Raw genomic sequence first — 26195 nt, 5'->3', positions numbered from 1 at the left:
CCTGTCTGCTTTCAAATTTAAATTTAAGTTTATTTTGGTCTAAAAATAGGGATGAAAAGGTGAATTTCATTATCTTAGTGCCTTAATTTTGGAAATCTTGGGTACCACAGTCTATCAGAAGTTTTCTAACACAATGTTGGTGAGGAGTTTTTATGTCAGATATGAGTTAAGTTTCCATCAGTTTGTATCATATTTTATTCTTTTATATGATTATTTTCTTTACCTAAGTTCCTTTTTTAGTAGATAAAATATCTAATATTTAGAGAGCTTCTCAATCTTTATTTTTTTCTTTTAATTAGCTCATACTGCTCCTCTCTGACCTTTGCAAATATCCCCACTAGCCAAAAGGATTTTCTCAAACTTTAACTTCCATAATTTGCATTATGAAAAAAATAAGTCTGTATAATAACAGTCTTTCTTCACTACACTATGGAGTTTATGCTGAAATTCCAACATGCCTCTCCACTTTTTCTGTCTGTTTGAAGATCAACAATGCAGATCACAGGATGTAATCAAACCTGAAAAACACCGTCAAGCATGCTGTTTTAAAGCTGTAGCGCATAGGCTGGGCTTCTTGGAACCTGGGCTTATGGAGTTCTCCTTGTGAATTTCGTTTTCATTAGAAATGCCTTCTCCCAAAGACATAAAACACACACACAAAATTGACCTTACCTAAAGTGTATAAATGATGTAAAATAGTTTCTTTCAGAAACGAAACAATAAATTCACCATTTTATTCACATAATCATTCAACACTGAAAATATTGTGATAAGCTTGTAACTTTAAGGCTTCCGATATGAAATTCTATATCCAGCATGGAAGTGCTATATTTCTACCTAAAACCTTTCCTCTTTTTATGCTGTTCTAGGACATAGTTCAAGTCCATGATTTGTACGTAGATCTGGCGTAGATTTTGAAATTTCATTAACAGGAACAAATCCAGTTTCTGTTGATTTCTTCACAGGAGTCTTTCCACCGCTTCAGAACATGCCTGGTGACCTCATTTATGTGAACACTTTAGCCAGAACAAAACTCAGCAAGCCACTGATGAATCCAGTGAAAAGGAGAGACCTACTGAGCCTTTGGGAATGTATGATGCCTTGGATTGGTCCAGGGTTCTGAAGCCTAAGTCACTCATTGTACGCAGGAAGCCGAATGTAAGACCTTCCACAAGCACTTTCACAAACAGGGGTCTGTTTACAACATGTGCTCCCAAAGCCCACGGTCTCTTTGCCAGTGATTGTCTGTCAAACGTCCAAGCTCTGCCGTGCCAGGGCAGCTTCAGTTATCCACGTTTCCCAGGCCACACAGCCTGGGCAGAAAATAACCACAATGACAGTCACAAAGCAGATTCCTCTAATTCTACCCCCCCCAGAGTCAGAAAAACCGTGTGATATGTGCCATGTCCCTCCCCTTCCTTTCCAGCTGCTGTGTGGATGAGGTCTCCTGCTGCTCTGGGACCGTGCTTCACTCCAAGCCTCAGAGGTGGACACCTTTGATACCAGGGTGACCAATCCCTGGTCCTGGTCCTACCTACATGAGAGTGATAGAGCTCTGGGCTGGGGTACAATTGAGTGACACACTCTTCCAAGTCCTCTTCCTCCACCACAGAGCACAATTTCATAAAGGTTTTGGCTTGCATTATAGGTAAGACAGCACTGTGAGGTGGGGTGGGGTGGTGGGGGTGATGAGAGATGATGTTTGAGCAGGGAGGAAGAGTAGAGGTGGGCCAGCAGACAGATGGGGGTTGGAAAGCCCAGGGCACATCTACTTGGGCAAAGCAGAATCTTATAGTTAACCCATCCTCCTAGGCAGTTTGTCTTACTCAAACCAGTGTCGCAAAGTAGTTGTCCAGCCCCAGAAGTGAGATGTATTGTGGTAAATAAAACAGTCTCTGAATCCCTTTAGAACTCCACAGGGATTCCAGAATTCCCTTAGGCTTCTTCCAGATTGGGCCTTGGATAACTGCCCAGGTGGTCAGGCTTTTATCAGCTTCATCCTTCACCCACCATGAAAGGACACTTCCTGTTTGCCTCCTGTCATTCCCCAAGTCAAGGATCCCTCCTGCAAATGACCTGGCTCCCTCCAGGAGCATGGCCCAGGCCCCTGTGCTGGGCCTTATGGCCATAAAGGATTTCTGGGTCAGGAAGGGAGACTGCGGCCAGCTTCTCCTGCAACAGTGCAACTTGGGCACAGTGGCAGCAGCTCCACGTTGGGTCGCTGGAGACCCACACAAAATGGCTGATGGATAATGACAGCAGGTAATGGTGCCAGGGGATGGCAGCTGAGTAATAGCCACTGGGTAATAGCTTCAGGGCAATGGCTGCAGGGCAATGATTGCTGGGTAATGGTTGCAGGGCAATGGCTGCTGGGTAATTACTAAAAGGCAATGGCAGCCAGATAATAGCATAATGGCTACTGGGTAATGCCTATGCTCGCTGGCATACATGCAGCCCGGGTCAGCTGCCAGGTGGGGTGGGTGGGGCTTATTTCCTCCTGGGGCACATCCTTGGTGAATGTCCACCCTCTGCAGAGCTGCTAACTGAGCCCTCAATATGCTGGAATCTGCAAAGGAAACATGGCCGATTCTAGGCAGTGAACCAGCTCCCTCTTTCCTTACCTGGCATTCGCATCACCACACTTTCCAGTGTGCTTCCCTGTGAGCTTTTCACCATCCCTGTCCCTCAACCAAAATTCATCTCAACCAAAATTCAAACTGAGTCATGCAAACATGTATTTTTCATTTCTGTCCAAGCAACTATTTATAGTCTCATTAACAAATTTTAAGTAATATAAGTAAATGTTACCCAGATAATCTTAAAGCCTTCATCTCACTCAATAAACATCTAATGAGAAATGAAAACTATGGATATTCTGTCAATACAGGTTGTTATGTAAATCTTCTGTCTAGTTTTTTTGTTTGTGTTTAAGAAAAATATTTGTTGGTGTTATAATTATTGTTAAATACAAATATTTAGGACAAGGTAAATGCATAAAATTTAGAAGTAGTTGCCCAGAGATAAAATTATTTGCCAAAGCTTTCATAACTAAGAATAGGAAAGGCTAGAATGATATCCTGGGTATTTTATTTGTTTTCCCACACAGTGCTTTCATGTCCCCTCCTGGTATCTGTCAGAATTTATAAATACCAACTGCAAGTTCAAGCATTATTTTCTAAATCAAAAAGTGAAATCTTTTTGGAGGAAGCTCAAAGGCTGTGCCTTGATTAGCATAGACAACTAGATTAGAACCACTGGCTGTAACTTGGAGCAAAATCTTGCAATTTTATTCTTGTCACTCCCTGGGGAGCAATTGCACTTGTGGGTGCATTGCACTCTGGCCTCCTTTGATCTCTTTATTCAGACCTCCTGTTTACTGCATTAAAACAATTCACTTCATTCATCAGCCAGTCTTTCTTTGTTCATTAGATCGAATTATTATTATTATTATTATTATTATTATTTTGGTTAAGGGCACAAGGAGGTGCATTTGGACTCATTTCTGTATCCTCTGTCACAGATTAAATTTTATTTTTTCCATCTTTTGAAAGAGTTGTGCTGTGGAGATTTCCTAGACTAAGTAGTGTGCTGATTTTCTTTTCCCTGCTCTCATCCCTCCTATTGGATGCAGAGTCGAGTTTCCTTGTTATCATTCTTGTAACCAAAAAAGCAAAGATGATCTCTTTGGAGATGTTTGGAGAAGCTGGGGATTCCATTTTCTAGCGATGGGGTCAAGATGTTTGGATTGGTGACAATATGTGTCCATCCTGTTCCAATTCTGTCTGGAGTAGGGAAGATTGCCTTTTCTTTCTCTTCCTTGCTATGCTGTTATTTGTCAGTCTTCTGAAGCTAGAAGGTGATGCTGTTTAGCATGTAAATAAAGCAACACTTTTTCCAGTAAATAGCTCTGTCTAGCATTATATGCCAGGAGCTCTCATCCACACAATGATGAATTCAATTCCTGCATTGTGCTTTCCTTTCCTGTCCTTTCACAGAGGGAAAGGTGATCACACTGTAATTATATAAATCCCTTTTACTTTATTTTTTCTGATTGTGCCTCTAATTTTCCTAGTCTCGTCATAGATAGCATTTCGCCTTGCTAATATAAAATTTCTGTGGCAGTCTTTGTGAATTAATTTACTTCCTATAGTCCAGTGTTTTATAGATGATGTAAATGAAGGATATGGCTTGCAGATCTATTTAAAGAGACGTGCTTATACTTCACTGTTTTGGCCAGATGAGTGGGCACATGCTTTTGCGTTTTTATTTGAACCCCCCCGAAGTTGGTCATTATATTTTGAATGCCACAGCACGTCTATACCATTATTTAAAGGATCTTGTTCATTCATCCATATAATGATTGGCATTGGCTATAACTTGATGCAATGTTACACTATTTTAATTCTTTCTCAGGCAATGTTATCTTTGATCGCTTCCTATTCACTGGGAAAAAAAACCCCACACAATTGCAATCCCACACTATGTTTCAGTGATGATGCCAAGTGCTCCCTGGAATATAGCTATTCAAGACAATTTCTCCACCCTCAGGCTGCTCATTAAAGGGATGGCAGTTTCTAACTTTAATGAATAAGGTAGAGTGAAAATTCCACTCTTCTTTGAAAGAGACTCCGTGGTTTTCCTTTTTAAAGTGTTTTCTGCTGCCTATTTCTTTGTTTAATTGGAAATGGTGTACACTCCTCCATAACCATGGCCACAACTCAATATGCAAAGTATTTCCTTGTCACATTTCCTTTTTTGTGGTTCAAGTGTGTATTTTATCAAAGAATTCCAGAAAAAGCTTTGTATCTTTCCCCCAAAAAACACGCCATTGATTACGTATAGTGCATCTAGATTGTCATCTTGTCCATGGGTAGAGTTACTCCTATATTTTGGGGATTTTACCTCCCTTCTTACCAAATACTGATTTAATATGTTCTTTTAACCCAGGGACATTCACGGCAGCTCCAAGTCCTCATTGAAAAGTTTAGCAAGAAAGAGCCAAGTAAGAAAGAATGACAGGGACCAGTGTTTAGGAAATGCTGCCTTCTTTTCAAAATCCAGTAGCCCCAAACCCAGCCAAACTTGAGTTCCTTTCTGTGTTTTAAAGGCATAAATTCTCTTTCTTCTTTTTACATAAATGAAGTCTAAAAATTTCTATTTATCTCATAGCGAATCACAACCATAAAGCAGGACTCAAAGTATAGGAGGGATTTTAATATTTTAAGACAAGTTCTGGGAGATTCAGTCACATCCCAGACTTACTGTGTTGGTGTAGGAGCAAGCAGGTCTGCATCATGCTAGGTCTTGGAGACTTTCTTTCCTTAACTTCCCCACTTAAGGCCAGTACCTGAACTCCTGAGCACCAGCAGATTCACATGTGTGCAGTAGTCAGATGAGAGAGAGGGACCCGTGGATATTAGGATGTGTATTCAAACTCTGAAGGTATTAGTGCTAATGACGAACGCATTGCTCTAGTTACTGTTTATTTAGCACTTGTTCTGTGCATGACAGTGTTCAGGCATCTGGAGCATCCAAGATATATACGCTATGATCTGTACTCCCCTGGGGCTTTCAAAATAGTGGAGAAGATGCATCTAATTTATTTGAAATGAGGAGAGAACAATAAGAAATAGTTAAAACTAAATGCTGGCTATGCTCAGTTAGCATGGGACATACTAAAAAAAAATCATTACTTATTTAAAATTCAAATTTCACTAGGGGTCTTGTATTCTTTCTGGCAACCCTAGCCCTGTGGATGTGCATGGTCATCAAGAGCTGAAATTGATGGTCCCACCACTGGCTTCTACTAGCTAACACACGCCACAAGTGGTAGAGTGACCACTTGCACGTGTACGCTGTCTTACTATTTACAAAGCATTCCGTATACATATTTACATTGAATCTTCACCATAGCCCTGTGAGATAGATACCACGAATCCACTTTTCAGAGGAGGAAAGTGAGGCTCAAAGCCCTTATCTGAGTTTCAAATTCAATCATCAAGGGGGATGGATCCCCGACCCCAATTTTATGATCCCAAATCCAGTGCTTTTTCACTACACCACAGCAGCCCATATTGTTCCACAGCTGGTGGGCTTTCTTCACTTCACAAAGCTTCCATCGCTTCAGTTTGGCTGCCAAGTTTCCTATTGGAGTGGCAACTTCCTGTCCAAAGCCACTTATTCGCCACTCATTGTTCCTGGCTAAGGCCACCCTCAGCCTGTTAGAAGAGTGAAGGGCTAGGAAGAAAGTTGTGGGGGAGTTTGCGATGGTTTTCCCTGGGGCTTTTCTCTAAATCCCGTGTTTGGAAGTCCTTTCTGAATGAACTCACACTTGGACTGAAGAGGGAGATTGCCCATGATCCTGAACTCGTTCAGCTGGTGCATCAGTCAAGTTGGTTGCCTTTTTTTATGCTGGAAAATTTTATTTTGCTAATAATGATGAATATGGAAGTGAGAAAATAACCTTAACAATTGTTATTTCTGAACTTTAATTGTTATTTTTCTTGATGGTGTAATGCAAACTGTAAAAACATTCGAACTAGATATGAACGTAAGATATAAAATAGAGATACCTCTCATAATTCCACTTTCTTTTTCCACTTCTCAGAAATCATCCTTATAACAGATTGATATATATTTGATGTATAATCTTTCAAGGTCCTTTTCTGAATTTCTACAAATATACATATTCCAATTATTTTACAAAAATGCGATCATGTCGCTTCGTAATGTTTTTCCACTTAAGTAATTATCTTAAACAATTCCATGTCCACACACATAGATTTACTTTTTTTGTTTTTAGTAGTTGCAGAGTATTCCATTGTATGTACATACCACAATTTAGTTAACCAATATCCTATTAATGTACATTTGGATTTTTTCAGATTTTAAAAATTGTAACCAATATTACACTTTTTGTGAATATTTCTAGAGAGTAGGTTTCTAGAACTGGACTGTCTAGGCTGGAGTGTGCACGTTTGATATGTGAAAAAGCATTGCCCAGTGGCAATCTAGAAGAATTTTACCTACCGCCCCTTCTGTCACTTCCTATTCAAGTTGATCTTGAGATTTTTCACATCTTCTTCGTTTTTACAAAGGACATGAATTTTTATCCTATATGTGTGACAAATATTTTCCCCAGCTTATTCTTTATCTTGTGACTTTGTTTATCATTTTTTTTATTGTGCAAACATCTTTCATTTCTAGGGAGCCTCATTATCTAGTTTTATGTGATTTTTAGCTTTCTCACTATATCAGAAAAGCCTTCCCTATGCCAACATTGCATAAGTCACTCATGTCTTCTTCTAGTGCTTTCGTAGTTTTAGATTGTTACATTTAAATCTTTGAAGCATCTACAATCTATTTCAGTGTAAACAGTGTGATAGGGATCTAACTTCATGTTTTCCCAACGGCTAACCATCTTAGTTATCCATCTTTTACCCATTGATTTAAAATGCCATTGTTATCGTACATTAAATTTCTATATATACTTGAGTCTTTTTCTGAACAGTGTATTCTGACCTACTGGCATTTCTCCCTATTCCTGAGTCAGTATGGCACTTTTTAAAATGCTGAAACTTCCAATATATTTTAATATTAGTGAGGGCAAGTTTTTTTCCCCAAGCTCTTGATTCTCCATTTGCACGTGCTTATTTTCACAGATGAGTTTTTGGCTCATTTTTATCATATTATATCATATCTCAAGTCAATAATTTTTCATGGGAATTTTTATTTTATTGCAGTGAATATACAGATGCTTCTTGACTTACAATGGGATTTTGTTCCAATAAACCCATCGTAAGTTAAAAATACATTTAATACTCTTACAAACATCATAGCTTAGCCTAGCCTAGCTTAAGCATGCTCAGAACACTTATATTAGCCTACAGTTGGGCAAAATCGTCTAACACAAAGCCTGTTTTATAATGAAGAGTTGCATGTCTCATGTAATTTATCAAATACTGCAGTGAAAGTGAAAAACAGAAAAGTTGTATGGGTACTTGAAGTACAGTTTCTATCTACTGAATTCGTATAGCTTTTGCACTATCTTAAAGTTGAAAAAATGTACATTGAACCATAAAAGCCAAAGTTCCCTTTACTACCAACCACGGTTTTGGTCTCAATCCTCTCAGCCCTGTTAGCAACTTGGTGCATGTCCTTCCAGACCCTGACCTATATATTTACAGACTAAAAACACAAGTGTGCACAGATATACAATATAAATGGGTTTCTACCAGGGCTGGGCTGACCGCCAGAACATACCGGGAAAGCTGTTAAATACTGAACTAGTTCCATACAAGCTGGTTAATAGCTGCTGCCCCCAGGCCTCCCTGCTGACCCACTCTGAGCTACCCCAGCTTCTCCCCTGCATAGCATTTATTATTACATCAGATTTTGCACATACATTCACCAATGGCATTGGTTTATATTTGTGTGGGTGCTATTTTTTTTTTGTCGTGTTTTGGTGTCAGGATTATACCAGCTCTACAGAATGATTTAGGAAAAATTTATTTTTTAAAAAAATTCTCTGGAAAAGCCTAAATGTCACAGTTGTTGGTTCCTTTGGCAACACTTGTTTATTAAGCCATCTGGGACTGTTAACCTTTCAGGGAGGGAGGGCAATGCGGGTACACAGTTCTACCTACCTGTTACATTGATCTAGGCTTCTTGCTCTATTTAGGTTATTTCTTTAGTTGAGAAAATAGTGATAATGTTTATTTTCCTAGAAAATTATTTACTTGTTGAGAGTGCAGGCTAAGGAGTCAAGGTACATTGTCCACATCCTACCACCACCACTTACTGAATTTTTTTAAGTTTTTGTTTTTTTTTTTTTTTTTTTTTTGAGACAGAGTCTCACTCTGTTGCCCAGGCTGGAGTACAGTGGCGTGATCCCAGCTCACAGCAACCTCTGCCTTCTGGGTTCAAGCAATTCTCCTGTCTCAGCCTCCTGAGTAGCTGAGATTACAGGCACCAGCCACCACACTGGCTAATTTTTGTATTTTTTTAGTAGAGACAGGGTTTCACCATGTTGGCCAGGCTGGTCTCGAACTCCTGACCTCAAGTGATCCGCCCACCTCAGCCTCCCAAAGTGCTGAGATTACCAGGTGTGATCCACCATGCCCAGCCCAAGACTTTATTTTTCAGTACAGTTTAGATTTACCGAAAAATGGAGAGTTCCTATATACCCTGCTTCCAGTTTCTTCTCTTATTAATATGTTACACTAGTATAATACATTTGTTGTAATTAATGAGCCAATATTGATACATTATCATTAGCTAAAGAACAGAGTTGTCTTCATTTGTTTTGTGTTGCTATAAAAGAATATCTGAGACTGGGTAATTTATATTCAATAGTTTATTTGGCTCAGGGTTCTGAAGACTGGGAAGTCCACGACTGAGGGGCTGCACCTGACAAGGGCCTTCTGGTGACAGAAGACATTGTGTGGCTTCAGAGTGCGTGAGGAGTGATAAAGAACCTACTCTCGTGATAAGGACGTTAATCCATTGATGGCAGAAACCTCATGACTTAATCATTTCTTAAAGGTCCCACCTCTCAACACTGTTGCCTTGGGGATTGTTTCTATCACATGAACTTTGGAGAACACTTTCAAACCAGAGCAATAGTGCATTTAGATTCTTTTTTTTTTTTTTTTATGGAGTCTCTCTCTGTCGCTCAGGCTGGAGTGCAGTGGTGCGATCTCAGCTCACTGCAACCTCCGCCTCCCAGGTTCAGGGGATTCTCCTGCCTCAGCCTCCTGAGTAGCTGGGATTACAGGCGCGTGCCACCACGCCCAGCTAATTTTTGTATTTTTAATAGAGACTGGGTTTCACCATGTTGGTCAGGCTGGTCTCAAACTCCTGACTTTGTGATCCACTCGCCTCTGCCTCCCAAAGTCCTGGGATTACAGGTGTGAGCCACTGCACCCGGCCAAATTCTTTTAGTTTTTACTGAATGTCCTTTTTCTGCTCCAGGGTCCCATCCAAGATCCCACAGCACATTTGGTCTTCGTGTGTCCTTAGGCCCCTCTTGGCTGTGGCAGTTTCTCAGATTGTCTTGTTTTTGTTGAATGACCTTGACAGTTTTGAGGTCATGCATTTTGCAGGATGCTGCTGTATTGAAATTTATCTTTAGGTTTTTTTCATAAGACTGGGGTTATGAGTTCTTGGGAGGGAGACCACAGAGGTAGAGGGCCAGTCTCATCGCATCATCTCAAGAGTGTGTCATGCATAAGATTTATGATCGTGCATGCTGGCCCTGTTGACCCGGCTGGGATAGTGCTTGTGAGGTTTCCCTGCTGTACAGCTACTCTTTTCCCCTTTTCCATACTCCACACTTTGGAAGGAAGTCACTATTTTTAGCCAACACCTAAGGAATGGAGAGTTATGCGTCTCCTGTTTGAGACTAGAGTATCCACATAAATTATTTGGAAATATTCTGCAAGGAGATCTGTCTATACTCCTCCATTTATTAATCTACTCTAATCTATTCATTATCAGCATGGACTCATAGATATTTATTTTATATTTCCAATACTACTTTATTTTATTGCTCATATTGCTCCATTTTCCACCCTTGGGAGCTCTTTCGCTTGGTTCCTGGGTCCCTCTGACAGCCGCCGTCATTGTGGGGGGGTTTCTGTGTGTTTGTTTGTTTTTGAGCACTTGTTTACTTTCTGTCCCTAAAAGAAGCTCCAGGCTCATTTTGTGCGTCTCTTGCCGCAGTCCTAGAATCAGTCATTTCTCCAAGAAGAGTTGGTTCCTTTCATTGCAGGATGAGATTAACAAACAAGATCTGGGTGCTTGGTGCGTTTGTTGTTCCTGGGGTGTTCTTTTCCAGTTCTCTTTTAAAACAATTTACTGCCCTCGGCTTTGTCAACTATGTTATTTTCATAGCTAAAATTTTCCAGCAATTCAGTGAACTCTTCCAGGAAACAACCAAAGATGGGTTCCTTTCTCCCACCCCGAGGTGTCTCTTCCAGTCTCTGCAGTGAGGCAGAAGACCTCAGCTTCTTGGGCTTCTGAGCTAGCTCTGAACACACGGCACCACTCCCTTCAATGTTTCCTTATGTTACGCTCAGTTTTGAAGATATTTTACGTAAGCGCAGCGGGTCTAAATTTAAGTAAAAATTTCAACTGCTTGTCTTGCTACCAGTGTAAAAATCTTTGTTGAGGTGACAGTGGAATGAAGAGAGCTTCTAAGCAAAGTCAAGCTCACTCACGTGCAGGCAAGGACCACTGCCACAATACAGTCCTCTTATAGTACGTTAAATTTCTTTTAATAAAATTTACAAGATTTACTAAAAATCTTGTAAAATTAATAAGACTTAAAACATCTCCTTAGAAGAAAGTGTGTAATTATTCTCCTTGTATGGTTTTTTAATGACTTTGCCTATATTTTATATTTATTTTCTATTAAGTGTGTTTTCTCCATTTTCTCCTTGGTTAGAACTGCCAAGAGATTGGGTCTATTTCATCAGCTATTTTGAAAAACCAACTATTGATTTTATCTATCAAGTTTACCTTTTTGCTATGTCAGTAATTTCTAATTTTATTCTTGAGATGAGATATAAATGAATTTGCCTTCTATTTGATGTTATTGTTCTTTCTTTTTCTAACTTCTAGAGTTAAATGCTTAGTCATTTAATTTTAGTCTTCTTTGTTTTCTAAAAAATGAGCTTAAGGAAATAAATTTTCCTCTATTAAAATACTATTTTGGCCGTAACCCAAGAACTTTGATTTGTTCTACTTTGATTTTTTCAATTTCTAAATGTTCTATAATTTAATTTGTACTTTATTTTTAACTTGAGTGTTATCTAGAGGAGAATTTTTTAATGTTCAAGGTTTTAGAGTCATTCATTTCTGGTTTAATTGAATTACAGTCAGAGAAAGTGACATTTATGGTTTTTACCTTTAGAAACTGAGATTTCTTTGTGACATAAACATTTTGAAAGGTTTTGTGGTTTTGAATAGAATGCCTGTTTTCTGTTTTTTGGCCATACACTTCTGCATATATCTATTAAGTTAGAATTGTTTATTGTGTTATTCAAATTCTTTGTGTCTTCATTTATTGGTCAGTTTCTGAGAGAGTTGTATTAAATTGTCTCACTATTTATTTTGTTAGTATTGCTTTGACTTTTCTAACAGTTTTTGTATTGCACAATTTTAGACATAAAAACATAACTATTTTATCTTCTTAGTAGATTGCTTCTCTAAGAAGACCAAGGCTGGGTGCGGTGTCTCATGCCTGTAATCCCAGCACTTTGGGAGGCTGAGGCAAGCAGATCTCGAGGTCAGGAGTTCAAGATCAGCCTGGAAAACATGGTGAAAGCTTGTGTCTACTAAAAATACAAAAATTAGCTGGGCATGGTGGCGTGTGCCCAGCTACTCAGGAGGCTAAGGCAGGAGAATTTCTTGAGCTCGGCGGGCAGAGGTTGCAGTGAGTAGAGATCACACCACTGCACTCCAGCCTGGGTGACAAAGTGACACTCTGTCTCAAAAAAAAAAAAAACAAAAAAGAAAGTCAAGTATTTTTGCTCCATTTAATATTATTCTTCATTATTTTCATCTTGGTTTACTTAATATTTCCACTAGCTTTCTTTTTGTTAAGATTTATTGAATTTATAATTCATATGGTGAGAACTCATTAAGCATTGCCTTTTAAGAATAAGTAAATTTTTACAGGTTTGAGTCCTGTTTTTCCAAATATGTTCTTAGTTATTTTATCAATTTGTGGCTGCTATAAGCAGGATCTTTTCTTCTACTATATATTCTAATTAGTGATTATTTTATATAGTAAATCTATTTATTTTTGAATATTAATTATGTAGCCAGCCACCTTAAGTTATATTTTTTAATACGAGTTTTCAGTTAATTCATTTGGGTGCTCTGATTATCAGTCACAATATGTTAAATAACAGTAATCTGCCTTCTCCTTTTTCTGTTTCTCCTTTGGTTCTATTGTTGGGTTGCATTGCCCCACATTTCCAGCAAATGAGAGATGAAACTAGCCAGAGAGACATTTTTGAAATGAATGCAGGGTACTGGCTTCATTGTGGTAACAAGGTACACCTCCAGTTAGAAATGTATTTTGTTGCAATAACAGAAAACTTGGGTCATAGAGATTCAAACAAAAAGTTTTCTTCTTTCCAACCACAAGAATACCGGGTAGAAGTGTGTTATGGTTCCGTCCATGGCTCAGCCGTGTCATTTATCGGAGTGGGCTGGCTTTTCCCTCTTGATTGCAAGAAGCCTGCAGCACCCTGAGAGTGGGGTGGTGGTTGTTTTTCAGGAATGCAGGCATTTCCCCAAAAGCCAACTCCTTACCTCTGCAGATGTCTCCTTAGCAAGGGACGCTGGAAAACCAGGCTTATACAGCCTGCCTTTCATCTACATTTTCAAATGTATTAGCTACAGTTGTACAAAATATTGTTTTGAGTTCCTTTAGCTCCCATTGTATCTATGGTTATTTTTCTATTCTCACTTTTAGTGTTGCATTTTTGTGCTTTCTCGCGTTTTTCTTGATTCGTCTAGCAAGTAGTTTATTTTACTGTGGGTTTTTTTTTTCTTTTCTCTTAAAGAACTGCTCTTGGTTTTATTCTGGCATTTTTGTTTGCTAATTTATTTTTATCTGCATATATCTTTATTCATTCCTTACTTTTGCTGTTTGTGTTTATTTGATATTTTTCTATATACTTGATTTGGGTGCCTAATTCATTTAGTTTCACTCTCTAATGATTCGTAGTGAAAGAATTTAAAACTGTGTTTTCCTCTGAGTACAGCTTTAGTATCTGATACGTGTTGTTTTTGTTGTCATTATCTTTATCTGTGGTTTTGAATTCTTTGGCCTGAGAGTAGTTTAGAAGATGCTTGCACATTTATTAGTTAGGGGAGGGTTTTTTCCTCCTTTGTTATTAGCTTTGATTTTATTGTACTGTAGTCAGAAAATCTGAACCATTTATGTTTTCTTAGAATTTACTAGTTTTGTTTATTACTCAACTTCTACAAAACACATGAACACGTGAAAAGAAATTGTTGTTAATTATGTTAGTCGAATCCTGTGAGGTTTTTTGTTTTTGGTTTTGTTTTCCTCTCTTTACTTACTTATTTTTAGTCTATAGAGGCCAGTAGTGACTAAAAAAGATATGCTAAATTCTCCCATTACTGTCTTGTTTCAAACAGTTTATCTTTTTATTTCCTGCAATTTTCACTTTATCTATTTTGATGTTATATTGTTCGGCGTATGAAGATCAAGCAAACATGCATTTTCACAGTGAGTTTTATACCTCAGCATTATCATACTTTTCTCCTTAAATTCAACTCTAATATTAATACTGCTTTATAAACCCTACTACTTTCCATTTGCTGCCTGGTGTAGCTTTGGCCATCCTTTTACTTTCTAAGTTTGTCTTTTACAGCATATAGCTAGATTTAGTTACAGATCCCAAATGTAAATTCTTTTTTTAAAAATGGAACTTAACTTTTATCACATTTGCATTTATTTTTATAATAGCTGTGTTTCATTTCAATGTTTTAATCTTATTTAATGTTTTCGGGGGTTTTTGCTTCCTTGGTTTTTCCTTTGTGTTGTTTCTCTCACTATATGTTTTTGATTGTTTATTGTCCTGGGGGCATATGGAATATATTTAATCTGTTTTAATTTCTAACTAATGGCTACCTTTACAACTTTAAACAATAGGCTTAACTCTCTCTCCTTTTATGAATTTAGGATATGGAACAGTGTGAGGAAATTAGGACTCTTGCATTTATTTTTCTTGGTTCCCTCTCTTTCTTCCTAAGTTTAATTGGTATTTTTTGATAGTTTTATTTAGTATTTATCTTTTATCCCAGTCTTTTCTTATTATATTTTAATTTTTATATAAAACATTTATGTTCACTTTATAATAGCAAGTTTTATAGATATTTTTAATGTTTCCTGTAAAATGTTTTATTTTTTGCATGCATAAACTTACATTCTGTTAATAATATAATCACCACAATTAGTTAGCTTTATTGATGTGGATTTGATATTTACCTCAAATCCTTTTAGACACTGGTGTTCCTAGTCTACCTCTTCTTTGAGTTCATCAGAGTTTATTTAGCAGATGTGCTGATTCACATAGAAGGACAATATCTCTCTTTAGTCCTTGCACATTTGCGAATGTCTTTGTGTTGTTATTATGTATGAATGCTAATTCAACTGCATAGCAAAATTCTTGGGCCACTTATCTGTTTCCCCAAATCTATAAATATCTGTTGACATTAAATATGGTTGAGCTGAGCTTAATTTTTACCTTTTGAAGAGACTTGTCCTGTCTTCAATTAGTGCAGCTTTCTTTATTTCTGAAGTTCAGTAGATTCCCCAAGATATGTCTTCCTATTGCTGATCATGATTTCATTGAATTTGGTGAGTCTGTTTGATGGGAAGATTCCATTTTCTCACCTCAGGAGAGTTTTTCCCATTATCCTTTAAATCTGCCTTTCTGCACCTTTTGGTGTGTTCTCTGTTCCAGGACGTTGGTGTTTGTATATTGATCTCTGTGGCGTGCCCTCCTTACCTGTCACTATTCTTGTTTCCTTTTGCATTCTGTTCAACTTTCACAAATCTCTTCCTTATGTCTCTGACTCAGTTTTCTGCAAAGCCAATTGTTTTTCTTATTGCTAATAATGGGTTGATTATTTCTGCCTTGGGGTTTATTTTGCCCTCAATTTCTTTCCTTAATTTCCCATCCCCCTTTTTGTGTTATTCTTAAGTTTTATCATCTGACTGTCTATCTTAAGTTTCATGGGCATTCTGTTTTAGTAAATTTCCTTGAGAATGTAAGTATTTCCGATGATGCTGTCATTTAAGCTGGGACTCACCGGGTAAGAAGACATCCTTCAGGTGGAGAGCCAGGGTGCCGTTGTGCCTTAAATGCTGCTGGCCCGCAAGCCTTCCCCATTCCATAGGTTCTCTCCACCTCCTGTCCTTCCCACCAACAGGAAAAGGGGAAGCTAACTTCATCTTCAGTCTTACACCAAAGGAAACTAATCCACTGTTTTCAGGTTACACTTATCAGTCTTAAATCCCTAGAGAGTTAATTAACATTCCATCTAAGTCTTTTTAGGTTAAAAGTTCATTTCCTTGGTCTTCATTGCCTTATCAAATTTAAGCAGTAGTGTGGCCCAAGTAGAGGAGGATAATTGAATCATCATCATGTCTGCAAAACCAGATTGTGAAGTCTTTAACCCTGGCTTTGGGAGTTACTGCAAATGGCCATCTGCCTTCCTTTCGGTTGGTTGTTACCGTAGGCTGGTTCCAGGAGGGAGACGCAGGATCCTTTAAGCTTCTTCTTATTCCTTGGCTCCCCTGCAGGTTATCACAGAGGTCTCTCTGCCTTCACTTTCTCTAGGAATCTTTCCTGGCTCTGCTTCCTGAGTCTACGGTCTTGTTCCTTCTTCTTCCATTCTTCCCATTGGCCTGCTCTGGACATCTGGGCTCTTTCTTTCTCCCTAGGCCAACCTCTGCCAGGATATAGATTATAGAAGCCCTGCCCCTCCCACATCTACAAGTCCTACCTAGATCAAGTCCCAGGCTCCCACTTGCCCAGAAAGGGGAGGTGAGGCATTCACAGGAAAAATGCAAGATACACTGTGCATCCTCAGGTGACAGCCACGCACATCCTGCAGTTCTTGGGTGATTCTTATTTTGGATATTGGTCATGGTCTGTTGAATGGAAAGAGTGTTCCTGGTGTTTGAAAGCATATCCTGACACTCACCTCTAAGTCTCTTGTTTCCAAATCCTGGGTAGAGAAAAAAACGTGAACCCACGCTTCTTGTTGATGTAGACCAATGAGTCAGCAGGGACATGGTTGGCTCTGATGCAGGTGTGTTGGTTGCCTTGATGATTCACATCCCACAGGAAGAATTGCTGTTAGCAACATGATATTCTGAAATGGTGAAGAACTTGTGAGAAAGTGCCCAGTGAAACAAAATACATCTGCCCTCAATTTACATCATTGTTGCTTCCTGAAAATGTCAGTGGTGTATATGAAAACCACGCAAGGAATATTTGTGCTTAGATATTGACCAGCATTAGGTACTGGGATTGGATCACCACAAGTGGATTTTTTACCTACCTGAATGTGCAACAGGACATTTAAAAGCTGTGCTGAAGACAGGATAATGCTTTCCCATGTGGGACTGTCCCATCTATTCCCAGACCTGTTCACTAACTGACAATGGTGTCCACCAATCACTGTAACAACCAGAAAATACCATTGCAAATTTACAAGATGCCCCCTGGGGTGGCACAGCTCTCCTTGAGAACTACCAGTTTAGATAAACTGAGTCTTCGTTTCAGATACCTTTAATAGATCCATTGGTCAGATTGTGGGGTAGAAGAGCATCAAGCAAGTTAATACTTATAAAGATTTTAGAACAATGCTTGGCATGTTGGGAGCTCTGTATATGTGGTTATTATGCAAATAATGCATCAGTGGTAATCTAAACACGCCCAAGTTTGTTAAAGTTAATAAGCAGACAATTATGAGGGCTAAGCCCATGTGACCAGTTGATTTTTTTTTTTTTTTGTAAATGATATGAAATGTACACAATTTATGGTAGGTCATTACGTATGTAAAAGGTAAGAAGAAGAATCTATATGTTTGCTTTTATAAACAAGGACACAATGTTTGCTGGTGACATTGTTTACCTCTGGAGAGGACTGGATGGCTGAGGGATACGGTAAGAGGAAGACTTCATTGTATATGCTTTTAAACTTTGTTTTTTTTTTTCTTTACTGAAGTGAATGACATGCCTAATTCAATATAAATAAGAAATACATTTTTCAAAATTTTAAACAATTGAGCATATATTTCAGGATATCATGATTCCGCATGACAGTGACATATGAATAAGAGTTTAACATAGGTGACTGTGTTATTTACTTTTTGTAACCGAATGAACTTTAAATAGTATTTCTATTCCTGCTTGGATCTCCATTATCCATTATTAAAATCAATGTCTACATTTCCTGATGCCATATTGTTTAATTTTCACTGGACACAGAAATACACTTAAGCCATTGTTTCTCAAACCCAGCTCTCCTCCTCCAATTCCCAGGTCCCAGGGACTTTGGAGGCTCATAGACAGTGAAAATTCTGCATTCGAATTCTAACTTATTAGGCTTTCTGGGACAGAATGACTGTGATCCTGATGCAGCCAGTGAGTGGGTGGGAGGAGGCTGGCAGGGCCTCTGAGAAGTTAGAAGGCTTAGCAAATGAGGATTGAAGGATCAGGGAATTTCCCAGACATAGAATCTCAAGTTTGGAAGGAACCTTTGGAGACTACCCAGGTGACTCTTCCTCCTCCCTCCTTCCCATCCCCACTCCACTTCCCCCCTCTCCTTTCTTCCAACTTTCCCTCCTTTCCTTCTTCTTTCCTCCTCTCCCTCCCCCATTCTGTACTTCCATTCCCCCCACCTTTCTTCTCTCCTCTTTAACAGATGATAAAACTGAGATTCAAAGAGAAGAACTTTCTCCAGGGTCACTAATGAGTGAGGACAGAGCTGGAATTCAAACCCAAGCCTCCTTTCTTGCTAGAGGGATGCAGGTGGAAGAGGCTATTTCCCATCTTCACGACGTTTCAGAGCAACTGCTTTGCTTCCCTTCCATGTGCTTGGCAGGGAGGGGAAGGGAGCAGAGGTGAAGACATCGGACATGAAGGCATTTCTTTGCTGTATCAAAGTTTAGAAAACACTTGGGAAGCATCTAAAAGACAATAATTTCAAGCCAAGGTGATGTAGTTACAGCCCATAGTGACGAACTGGACATGAACTCCTGCTGGAGCCAGGCAGGGTGCAGGGAGAAGGTAGCCCTGAGCGTCCACCCTGTGTGCACCAAGGGAGTTCCAGAGCTAACAGAAAACAACATCTGGGCTCAGGGGCAGACCTTCTCCTCAGTGCTAATGTGTGGAAAGATTCTGGTCATTTCTGTGCTCTGTGCTCCCCCAGGCCCCTCAGCATAACTCAAAGGACTTTTCTTATATATTAAAAAAAAAAAAGCCGTAAAAATGCTTATTTGTACAGTCAGGGTCTGAGGTAGTTTTTATATCTGTCCCCACCCAAATCTCACGTTAATGTATACATATGTAACTAACCTGCACAATGTGCACATGTGCCCTAAAAGTTAAAGTATAATTAAAAAAATATATTTAAAAAAAGAAAAAAAAATCATAATCCCCAATGTTGGAGATGAGGCCTGGTGGGAGGTGACTAAATCTTAGGGACAGATTTATCATGAATGGTTTAGCCCCTTCCCCTTGGTGATGTTTTCATCATAGTGAGTAAGTTCTCATGAAACCGGGTCATTCAAAACTGTGTGGCACCTCTGCCCCTACTCTTTCTCTCTTGCTCCTGTTCTCGCTATGTGATGTATCTATTTCCCTTTTGCCTTCTTCCATGATTGGAAGCCTCCTGAGGCCTCCTCAGAAGCAGATGCCACTATGCTTCCTATACAGGGTGCAGAACCATAAGCTAATGAAACTTCTTTTCTTATAAATGACCAGCTTCAGGTATTTCTTCAGAGCAGTGCAAGAACAGCCTAAAACGGGGTCCTTGTAACAAAAAGTGGAATCTAAATCTGATATCCTAGCACCAACTTCATCATAGATTTTGAAAGACCGTATGCTCCCCTTTCTCGGGGGGAAGTAGAGACATCTGACATCGTCCAGCCTCACCTTAGAACAAGTGTCCCCGAAAGACTTTCTTTGGTCTCCTTTCCCCCTCCACAAAAAGCCTACGGTGATTAAAAAGATTCCCACGTCTATTTTCAAATTATGTCAGAAAAGTAGATTAAAGGTTTTATGCTTAGGAAAACGAGGATAAATATTCAAACATAAATTATGGCAGTATTAATAATTGCACATTTGTGCTAAGTAACTAGAAAATTATTTGAGCATTAATTCCATTTACATATGTTCATTCAGATTTGTATCCCTGAAGCATGCAAGTATTTGGGGTTTGAAACATTTAATCACTTAGTAAGCAGCCCTCAATGGGATTGCCATTTATTTATTGTCTTTATTGATTTTCCTACACAGAAGGATGCTTGTGGTGTACAGCAACTGACTGCTGAGTTGAAAGAACTCTATCTTTTCTAGTGCAGAACAAAAGCTTCTATTTTTTTTCCTTGGGTTTTTTTTTTTTTTAAAGAGCAACCTGTTTTCTTTAGATCATCCCAGCTCGGAGCCAGAATGCTGCTGCTTCCTTCGTTTGCTAGATATTCTTCTCCCATTAGTATGGTATTTTATTGTTCCTAGACAGACACATTGAGTAGTACTTGATTTTCTGTTCAGGCCAAATTTTCAGACTTAGTCCTTGCCTGGAGTGTGGTGGAGACCTTAGCATCCCAGAAGCATGTTTGGTTCTTAGTTGATACGTAGGATGGATCCCCAACAGGTTCTTCATTGATACAGGACACTCCCCTACAGCACGATAACTGGAAAAAAACTGAGAATCCAATTCATTGGTCTGGACATGTCATCTTCCTTCATCTGTTTTTAAAGAAATCTCCTTGGTGATTTTATAATAAATTTTTCATTAATAAGCGGAACTAAAATAAGCACAGCTGCCCCAGTGGCTAATGCGTCTTAAGGGCTTGGCATGGACAAATGGATACCAGCACCAGCCTCTCTCCTCATCTTCTCAACAGCAGGTCCATGGGGTGGAGGCTACTAGTTAGGCTGATACATGACATTGATGCTTTTGTCATTTAAAATAGTTGAAGAATAATAATTTTAGATGTTTCATTCTAATTTTATCTCCGTTTTACAGATGAGGACTTTGGATATTGGCAAGGTTAAGTAACGTGCACAGTCCACACTCACCATTGGTAAAGGCAGGACTCAGACCTTGGTCTGAGGGACTTCACACATATTCCTAACCATGACACCAGCCACCTTTCATCCACTTCAGCTGACATCTGTCTGGCTTGAGGCCGAAAGAGGGGACACCTTGCAGTCTGCCCGAGCAGCAGCCATTTGAACCTCCCCCTGGTGCCCTGAGGCTCAAGAACACTTGGAGAGATAGAAGTGGGAGTTGGCTTGATTCATGAAGGAGGAGAGTGATGGCTTACAAGGTACCACTCGTTTTCTGGAGTTTGGAAATCCACTTGCATCTTCATGGAAGCCAGGCACAAAAATGGCCACTGAGGTGTTCCCACCTCTCCGACCCTGAGTCCACCCTGCTTTCATTTCTGTCCCAGGTCTCTGTGCTTTCAAGAGGATGCATCCTGAGGTCATTCATTCAACAGCGTAGTCATGGGACTGACCCTTCCCAGTGGAAGCCCTACCTCTGGGGCCCCACTCACCTGGAGCTAGGGGAAAAGTGCAGGGCGGGAAGTCACTCCAGGTAACAGAGGACAGAGCCAGGTGACCAGAGGGAGGAGGAAAAGCCAGTCCAGGTGCTCCCCATAATGAGGCTGGATCTCACAATATCTTAGCAGAGACAGATCCAGAGAGAAGGGTCTGGCCTGCAGGAACCAGAATTCCAGATAGGAGGCCAGGCCCTGACAAAGGCAGACTCCAGCAAGGGGGACACTGAGGCCTGAGAGCAGGCATCAGAACTGTTTGGGGTTCCCCAAACCCCAACTCAAACCAGCCTAAGCAAAAAAGAGATTTGCAATTTCAGGGCTAACCCCTCAAGGAGGTAGAGCATAACTCCCCACCCCTTAAACGTCAGCTACACTTTATCACTTTCTTCCAAAGGCTAGAGAATAGAAAGAGACAGAAAAGTACCTCTATGGTGAAAGAATTTGGCAAAGAAAGGTGATCAGGGTTAGCATTGAGACAGAAAAAACTGACATTCCAAAGCTGGTCTGGCTCTCAGATAGATCACACAATTTTCCAATTATACACGGTCTCATAGAATACCAAACTCAAAGTTATTCTGAGACTGATAAAATGAGACAAAGCAAGGCTACTCTATAATTTTGTCTAAGCGCAGACAACAACAAGGTCATTATGCCACCCAGAAAATACCAAACACCCCGTCTGTCACCCAAAATAAGTGACTGCTACCTCTTTACCAATTCTAGCTTTTTCCTTGTGCTGGTCTCCCCCTCCCTATAGATAAGATTTTGATAGCTATATCCATCTATATATAGGTAGGTTGATATAGATAAGGATCAGCATGCCTTTGGCTAGAGGTTTTACTATATCCATCCTTGGAAGAGAAATAATAAAAAAAATTAAAAAGAAGCAGCTAGTTCAAAATCCAAATTCCTATTTAATGGATATAAAATGTCCAGGTTGCACCAAGATTAACAGGATTTCCATCCATCCTTAGACAGTAGTTCTTTGTGTAGGCTGTTCAACAGGGTTGTGCCAGCCTGCAGGGGGAAAAGCAGACCAAAAGAAGGATGCTCATTTACCAGAAAGCAACGCTAATCACCCACACAACTTCCTGACTTTGTTTTTGTTGCAGAAAACCTTATCAGTTCAGTAATTCTAGTGAATCTAACAAGATGATGTAATTATGTTTGATTCTGTAAGGTACAGAGCAGTGATCTCCTATTTTGGTATCGGTTTTCCAATAACATTTTGATGACTGTGGGGGAGGGGGAGCTTGCCCCAGTTTCGCCTCCTGGTAGATAAGATTTATTGAGATACCCGATCATATAATTGCCCTGCTTTCTGACAGCATACAACCTAGAAGAAACCTCCGCTTCCTTAGACCCACCCCCAAATCACCCAACCAAAGCCAAAATCCTGTAATAGTTTCTTTCTAACATCCTCCCACTGAGACACCCTACAGCTCCCCATGGTGTGTGTTCTCCCTCACTGCAAGGAGAAAGAAACCCAGCTTGTCTACCTATAGTGTGTCCCTGGGGGTCTGTTACTGAAGGGCATTCACAGCAGCGATGATAAATCCTGTACCTTTGATATCATGTGGGATGAGAATTGCGCTTAATCTCTGTGGTTGCTCTGCCTCTCCAAGACCCATAACCCCAGTCTAACCACGAGAAAACGATCAGACAAACCAGAATCAAGGGACATTCGATGAAATACCTGACCATTACCTTTCAAAACTGTCAAGGTCAACGAAAGCAAGGAAAGTCTGAACAACTGTCATAGCCCAGAGAGGTCTAAGGATGCCTGATGACTAAATGTGGTATTCTGGATGGGGTCCTGGAGCAGAAAAGGGACATTAGGGAAAAACTCATAAAATAGGAATAGTGTATAGAGTTTAATTAAATTTTTTTTTCAGATAGAGTTGGCTTCAGGGTACAATTAAAATGATGTTCATATCATTGTGTCTCTCCATTTCCCATGTTCCCGTGTTGGTCTTTCTCAGGCAGAGGTACCCCACATAGAACAATGTGACTGCTGTAGCTCAGGTCTGTGTGCTCCCTTTGAGCTTGAGAACCCAGGGAATAGGTTCTCAGATCGACCTGGCCTCATCTTGTGCTCCGAGTGGCCAACCAAGGTCATATGTTTCTTCCTGGGCTCAGAGGTCAGCTCCACTCAAACCTCATGGGCCCAGCAAGACTATTAGGGACTGAGGGAGAGCTCGTTCCCCAGAAGAAGGGATGCTTGGCAGCAAAAGCACATATCCAGTAGACTGGCCCTACCTCTTAACTCACCAGGAATGCTTTGGCAGGCATCTCATTTACATGCAATCCAACCTTTGCCCAGTGATGAAAGTGAGCTGAAGGGTAGATACAAGTGGCCTTGAGAAAGCCACAGCACAATTGCTTCCCTCCCTCCACACCCCTGCCATTCCCTTATTTGTGGAGTGGGAGGGTATCTAACCACATAGAACCAAGGGATTTGCAATGCATTTCTCAATTTCTTGAACTGCTGAATGAGGTGTCATTTGTCCAGGTGCGTGGAACATAGCACCGCTCAGTGAAAGCTAGCTTAATCTCAGCCTTTCCTATTCATAGCCAAAGAATTACCATGAGTAATTCTACCTCTTTACGAAGAGTTAAGCAATTATTATAAGAAGGCCACTGTAGTGCCTTTATAGAACTGCATTTCTGCCATGAGTAACAGTGAAGAATCTTTTATGCTATTAACCTGTGTAAATTTTAGATTTTTAAAAATAGTAAGTTATATAGGTCACTGCACTCTACCTGTAACTAATTGCAGCATTAGCTATCAAATTCTCATTGTTGGTTAATTTATCTTCAAAGACTCAAGAATGCAATTCAAGGTAATTACTACCTGTATGCCATGCTTCATTTATGGCCTCTGTGAGTCATGAATCTTCTTTCTATAACTGAAAACATTTAATGCAATTAATTCAAGAGGTCTGCCACATACGCCGTATAACCAAACTTAGCATAAATTGTATAAATGTGTGTTGTATTTTATGATCGCGTCCTGGAATTCTCACAGGAAATATGACATCTCCTAGTAACACTGGTTGGATTAAGGGAGGGAATAGAGAATTGTGTTATTCTTTCTTCATGTTAATGAAGGTTTCATTAATTTTTTCCCCTTAAACGAAGACTGGAAACCCTTGAAATATCTTTGCAATGCATTTCTCAATTTTTGGAACTGCTGAATTATATAAACACACCTTGCTTCTATTTGATTTTGATTGCTTTCTTGGCCTAGTTTCCCTGCAAGCATTTGGTCTGATTGAATAATTTTTAGTTGTGTTTTCTTGCTGTGTCTGTGCTAGTCTGCTAACGGTTGGTGTTTGCAGCATTGTTACAATCTACCGACTTTATCTTTTGCTGGATTTTTAAAGGGGTATTTTATTGCCTGTCATTACCATTCATAGTAGCTTCTGGGCACTGTCATTCCGGCAGCTGAATGCAGATCCCAGCGTGCCACTCACCGGGCCCTCTGTTCTTAGAGAGAACCTCAGCGCCTCCCCAAAGAGCCACATCATCATTCCTCCAGCTCTGCTTCTTGGCATATTTTTGATTTTTCATTTTAGATGAGTTGTTCGAGTTTCAATTGGAGAGATAATGCCATTTAAGATGAGGATAACTCCGTGATGCCTCAGATGATTTCATTGCAGCCTTTGCCTAGACTGCAACATGGCCAATAATGCCACGCCTTGCATATGGGTGGCCGTTGTGGCACTTCAGACATTCTCTAGTAACAGGACCTCGATGCTGAGAGACAAAATCTGCATCCTCACCTGTCAGATAAGGTGACAATGTCTTTTCGCAAAGCATGTATTGGCATCTTTCTGCACAAGTGGTCTTAATTTGGGTCTTCATGGTGGAATATTTATTGTCTCTCTGTTATGCAAGGAGACAGCCCAAAGAGTGAGTGTGGTCACCAGACCATGCTCTACACGTTAGAACAAAGGACCCCAGAAGCACATCTGCCCCAGACTCAACCAGATGGGCTTTGCTGTCCAGACAACATAGGTGGAGACCTCACATTTCGAGGTGAGTTCCTCAAACATCTATTTAACCCCCAATATGCACCAACCACAGAGCTGTTTGTGGCACAGAAATAAGAAAAGGATCTGTTGTTAAGGAACTGATATTCTAACCTATTTGCTTGTAAATGGGCATTTCTGTCCTCATTCATTCATTCAAGAAGCATGTGTTGGGTGATTGCTATAGACCAGGAACCAGGCTAGGTATTACAGATACAGAGGTGAACAGGCAGATAAGACACTATCCCTGCCCTCATGGAGTTGACAGTAGAATTCTATTTCAAGGTTGGGAAAAAACACAGCAGAAACTAGTTTAACTTACAGCAATAACCACACAGCTGGCATGTAATTGGAAAGAGTAACTTACTGGGGAGGAATCAAAATGGCTCCTCCATACCTCTGACAACTAGTGACCATGAGCCCATCCCTGCTGCTTCAATGGCTCATAGGAAGTATAAATGTGACTCTCTCTCTCTCTCTCTTTTTCTCTCTCTCTCTCATTTAGAAAATATACCTGGCTTTCTTTTTACATGTCTTCAAGTGAAGAAACTGTTGAATTACTATTCTGCCACCATATCTTGGGAGGGCCTGGATATGGTTTTATTTTGTGACAAAGCATTGCTCACTATATGAATGGATAGAAGACCAAACACTTTCCCAGTTGTTTTAAGACAGATTGGGGTAGAAATCAGCAAAAATATTTTCTGGAACTCATGTAAATTGATTGTTTACCTCCAGATTAATTTAAGGTGCAATAGGACTTTTGGGCCAAAATTAACATTTTATTATAATTACTGCTCTTTAAAGGGGAAA

The 26195-nt window shown here is 39.8% G+C and overlaps 2 long non-coding RNA genes and 1 pseudogene across 3 annotated transcripts in view, besides 1 other annotated feature; 2 read left to right on the top strand and 1 right to left on the bottom strand.

Moving 5' to 3' along the window:
- Positions 1 to 703: 703 nt before the first annotated feature.
- On the bottom strand, positions 704 to 1955 carry LOC124902521 (uncharacterized). Its single transcript, XR_007062332.1, has 2 exons — positions 1827 to 1955; positions 704 to 1313 (listed from the first exon to the last, which is right to left on the bottom strand). It is a non-coding gene; the product is annotated as an uncharacterized LOC124902521 (long non-coding RNA).
- LOC105378543 (uncharacterized) overlaps positions 1948 to 26195 on the top strand; it is a 43029-nt gene continuing 18781 nt past the window's right edge. Inside the window, exon 1 of one of the 2 annotated variants that reach the window (XR_007062331.1) lies at positions 1948 to 2262. This is a non-coding gene — a long non-coding RNA (uncharacterized LOC105378543). Of the gene's footprint in view, positions 2263 to 25263; positions 25390 to 26195 lie in introns of those variants that run through there. The other variant, XR_946437.3, reaches the window with a different exon arrangement.
- RPS27P18 (ribosomal protein S27 pseudogene 18) lies at positions 22167 to 22423 on the top strand (annotated as a pseudogene).
- Positions 22248 to 22542: an enhancer, noted in NCBI's record as "tiled region #15007; K562 Activating non-DNase unmatched - State 24:Quies". NCBI's record gives its function as "activates a minimal TATA promoter and a strong SV40 promoter by Sharpr-MPRA in K562 cells {active_cell/tissue: K562}" and the evidence as "EXISTENCE:reporter gene assay evidence [ECO:0000049][PMID:27701403]".

Source organism: Homo sapiens, chromosome 10 (genome assembly GCF_000001405.40).
Source record: "Homo sapiens chromosome 10, GRCh38.p14 Primary Assembly".
NCBI classification, from domain to species: domain Eukaryota; kingdom Metazoa; phylum Chordata; class Mammalia; order Primates; family Hominidae; genus Homo; species Homo sapiens.
Note: the sequence above shows the minus strand (reverse complement) of the source record. Positions and strands in the feature narration are given on the sequence as shown.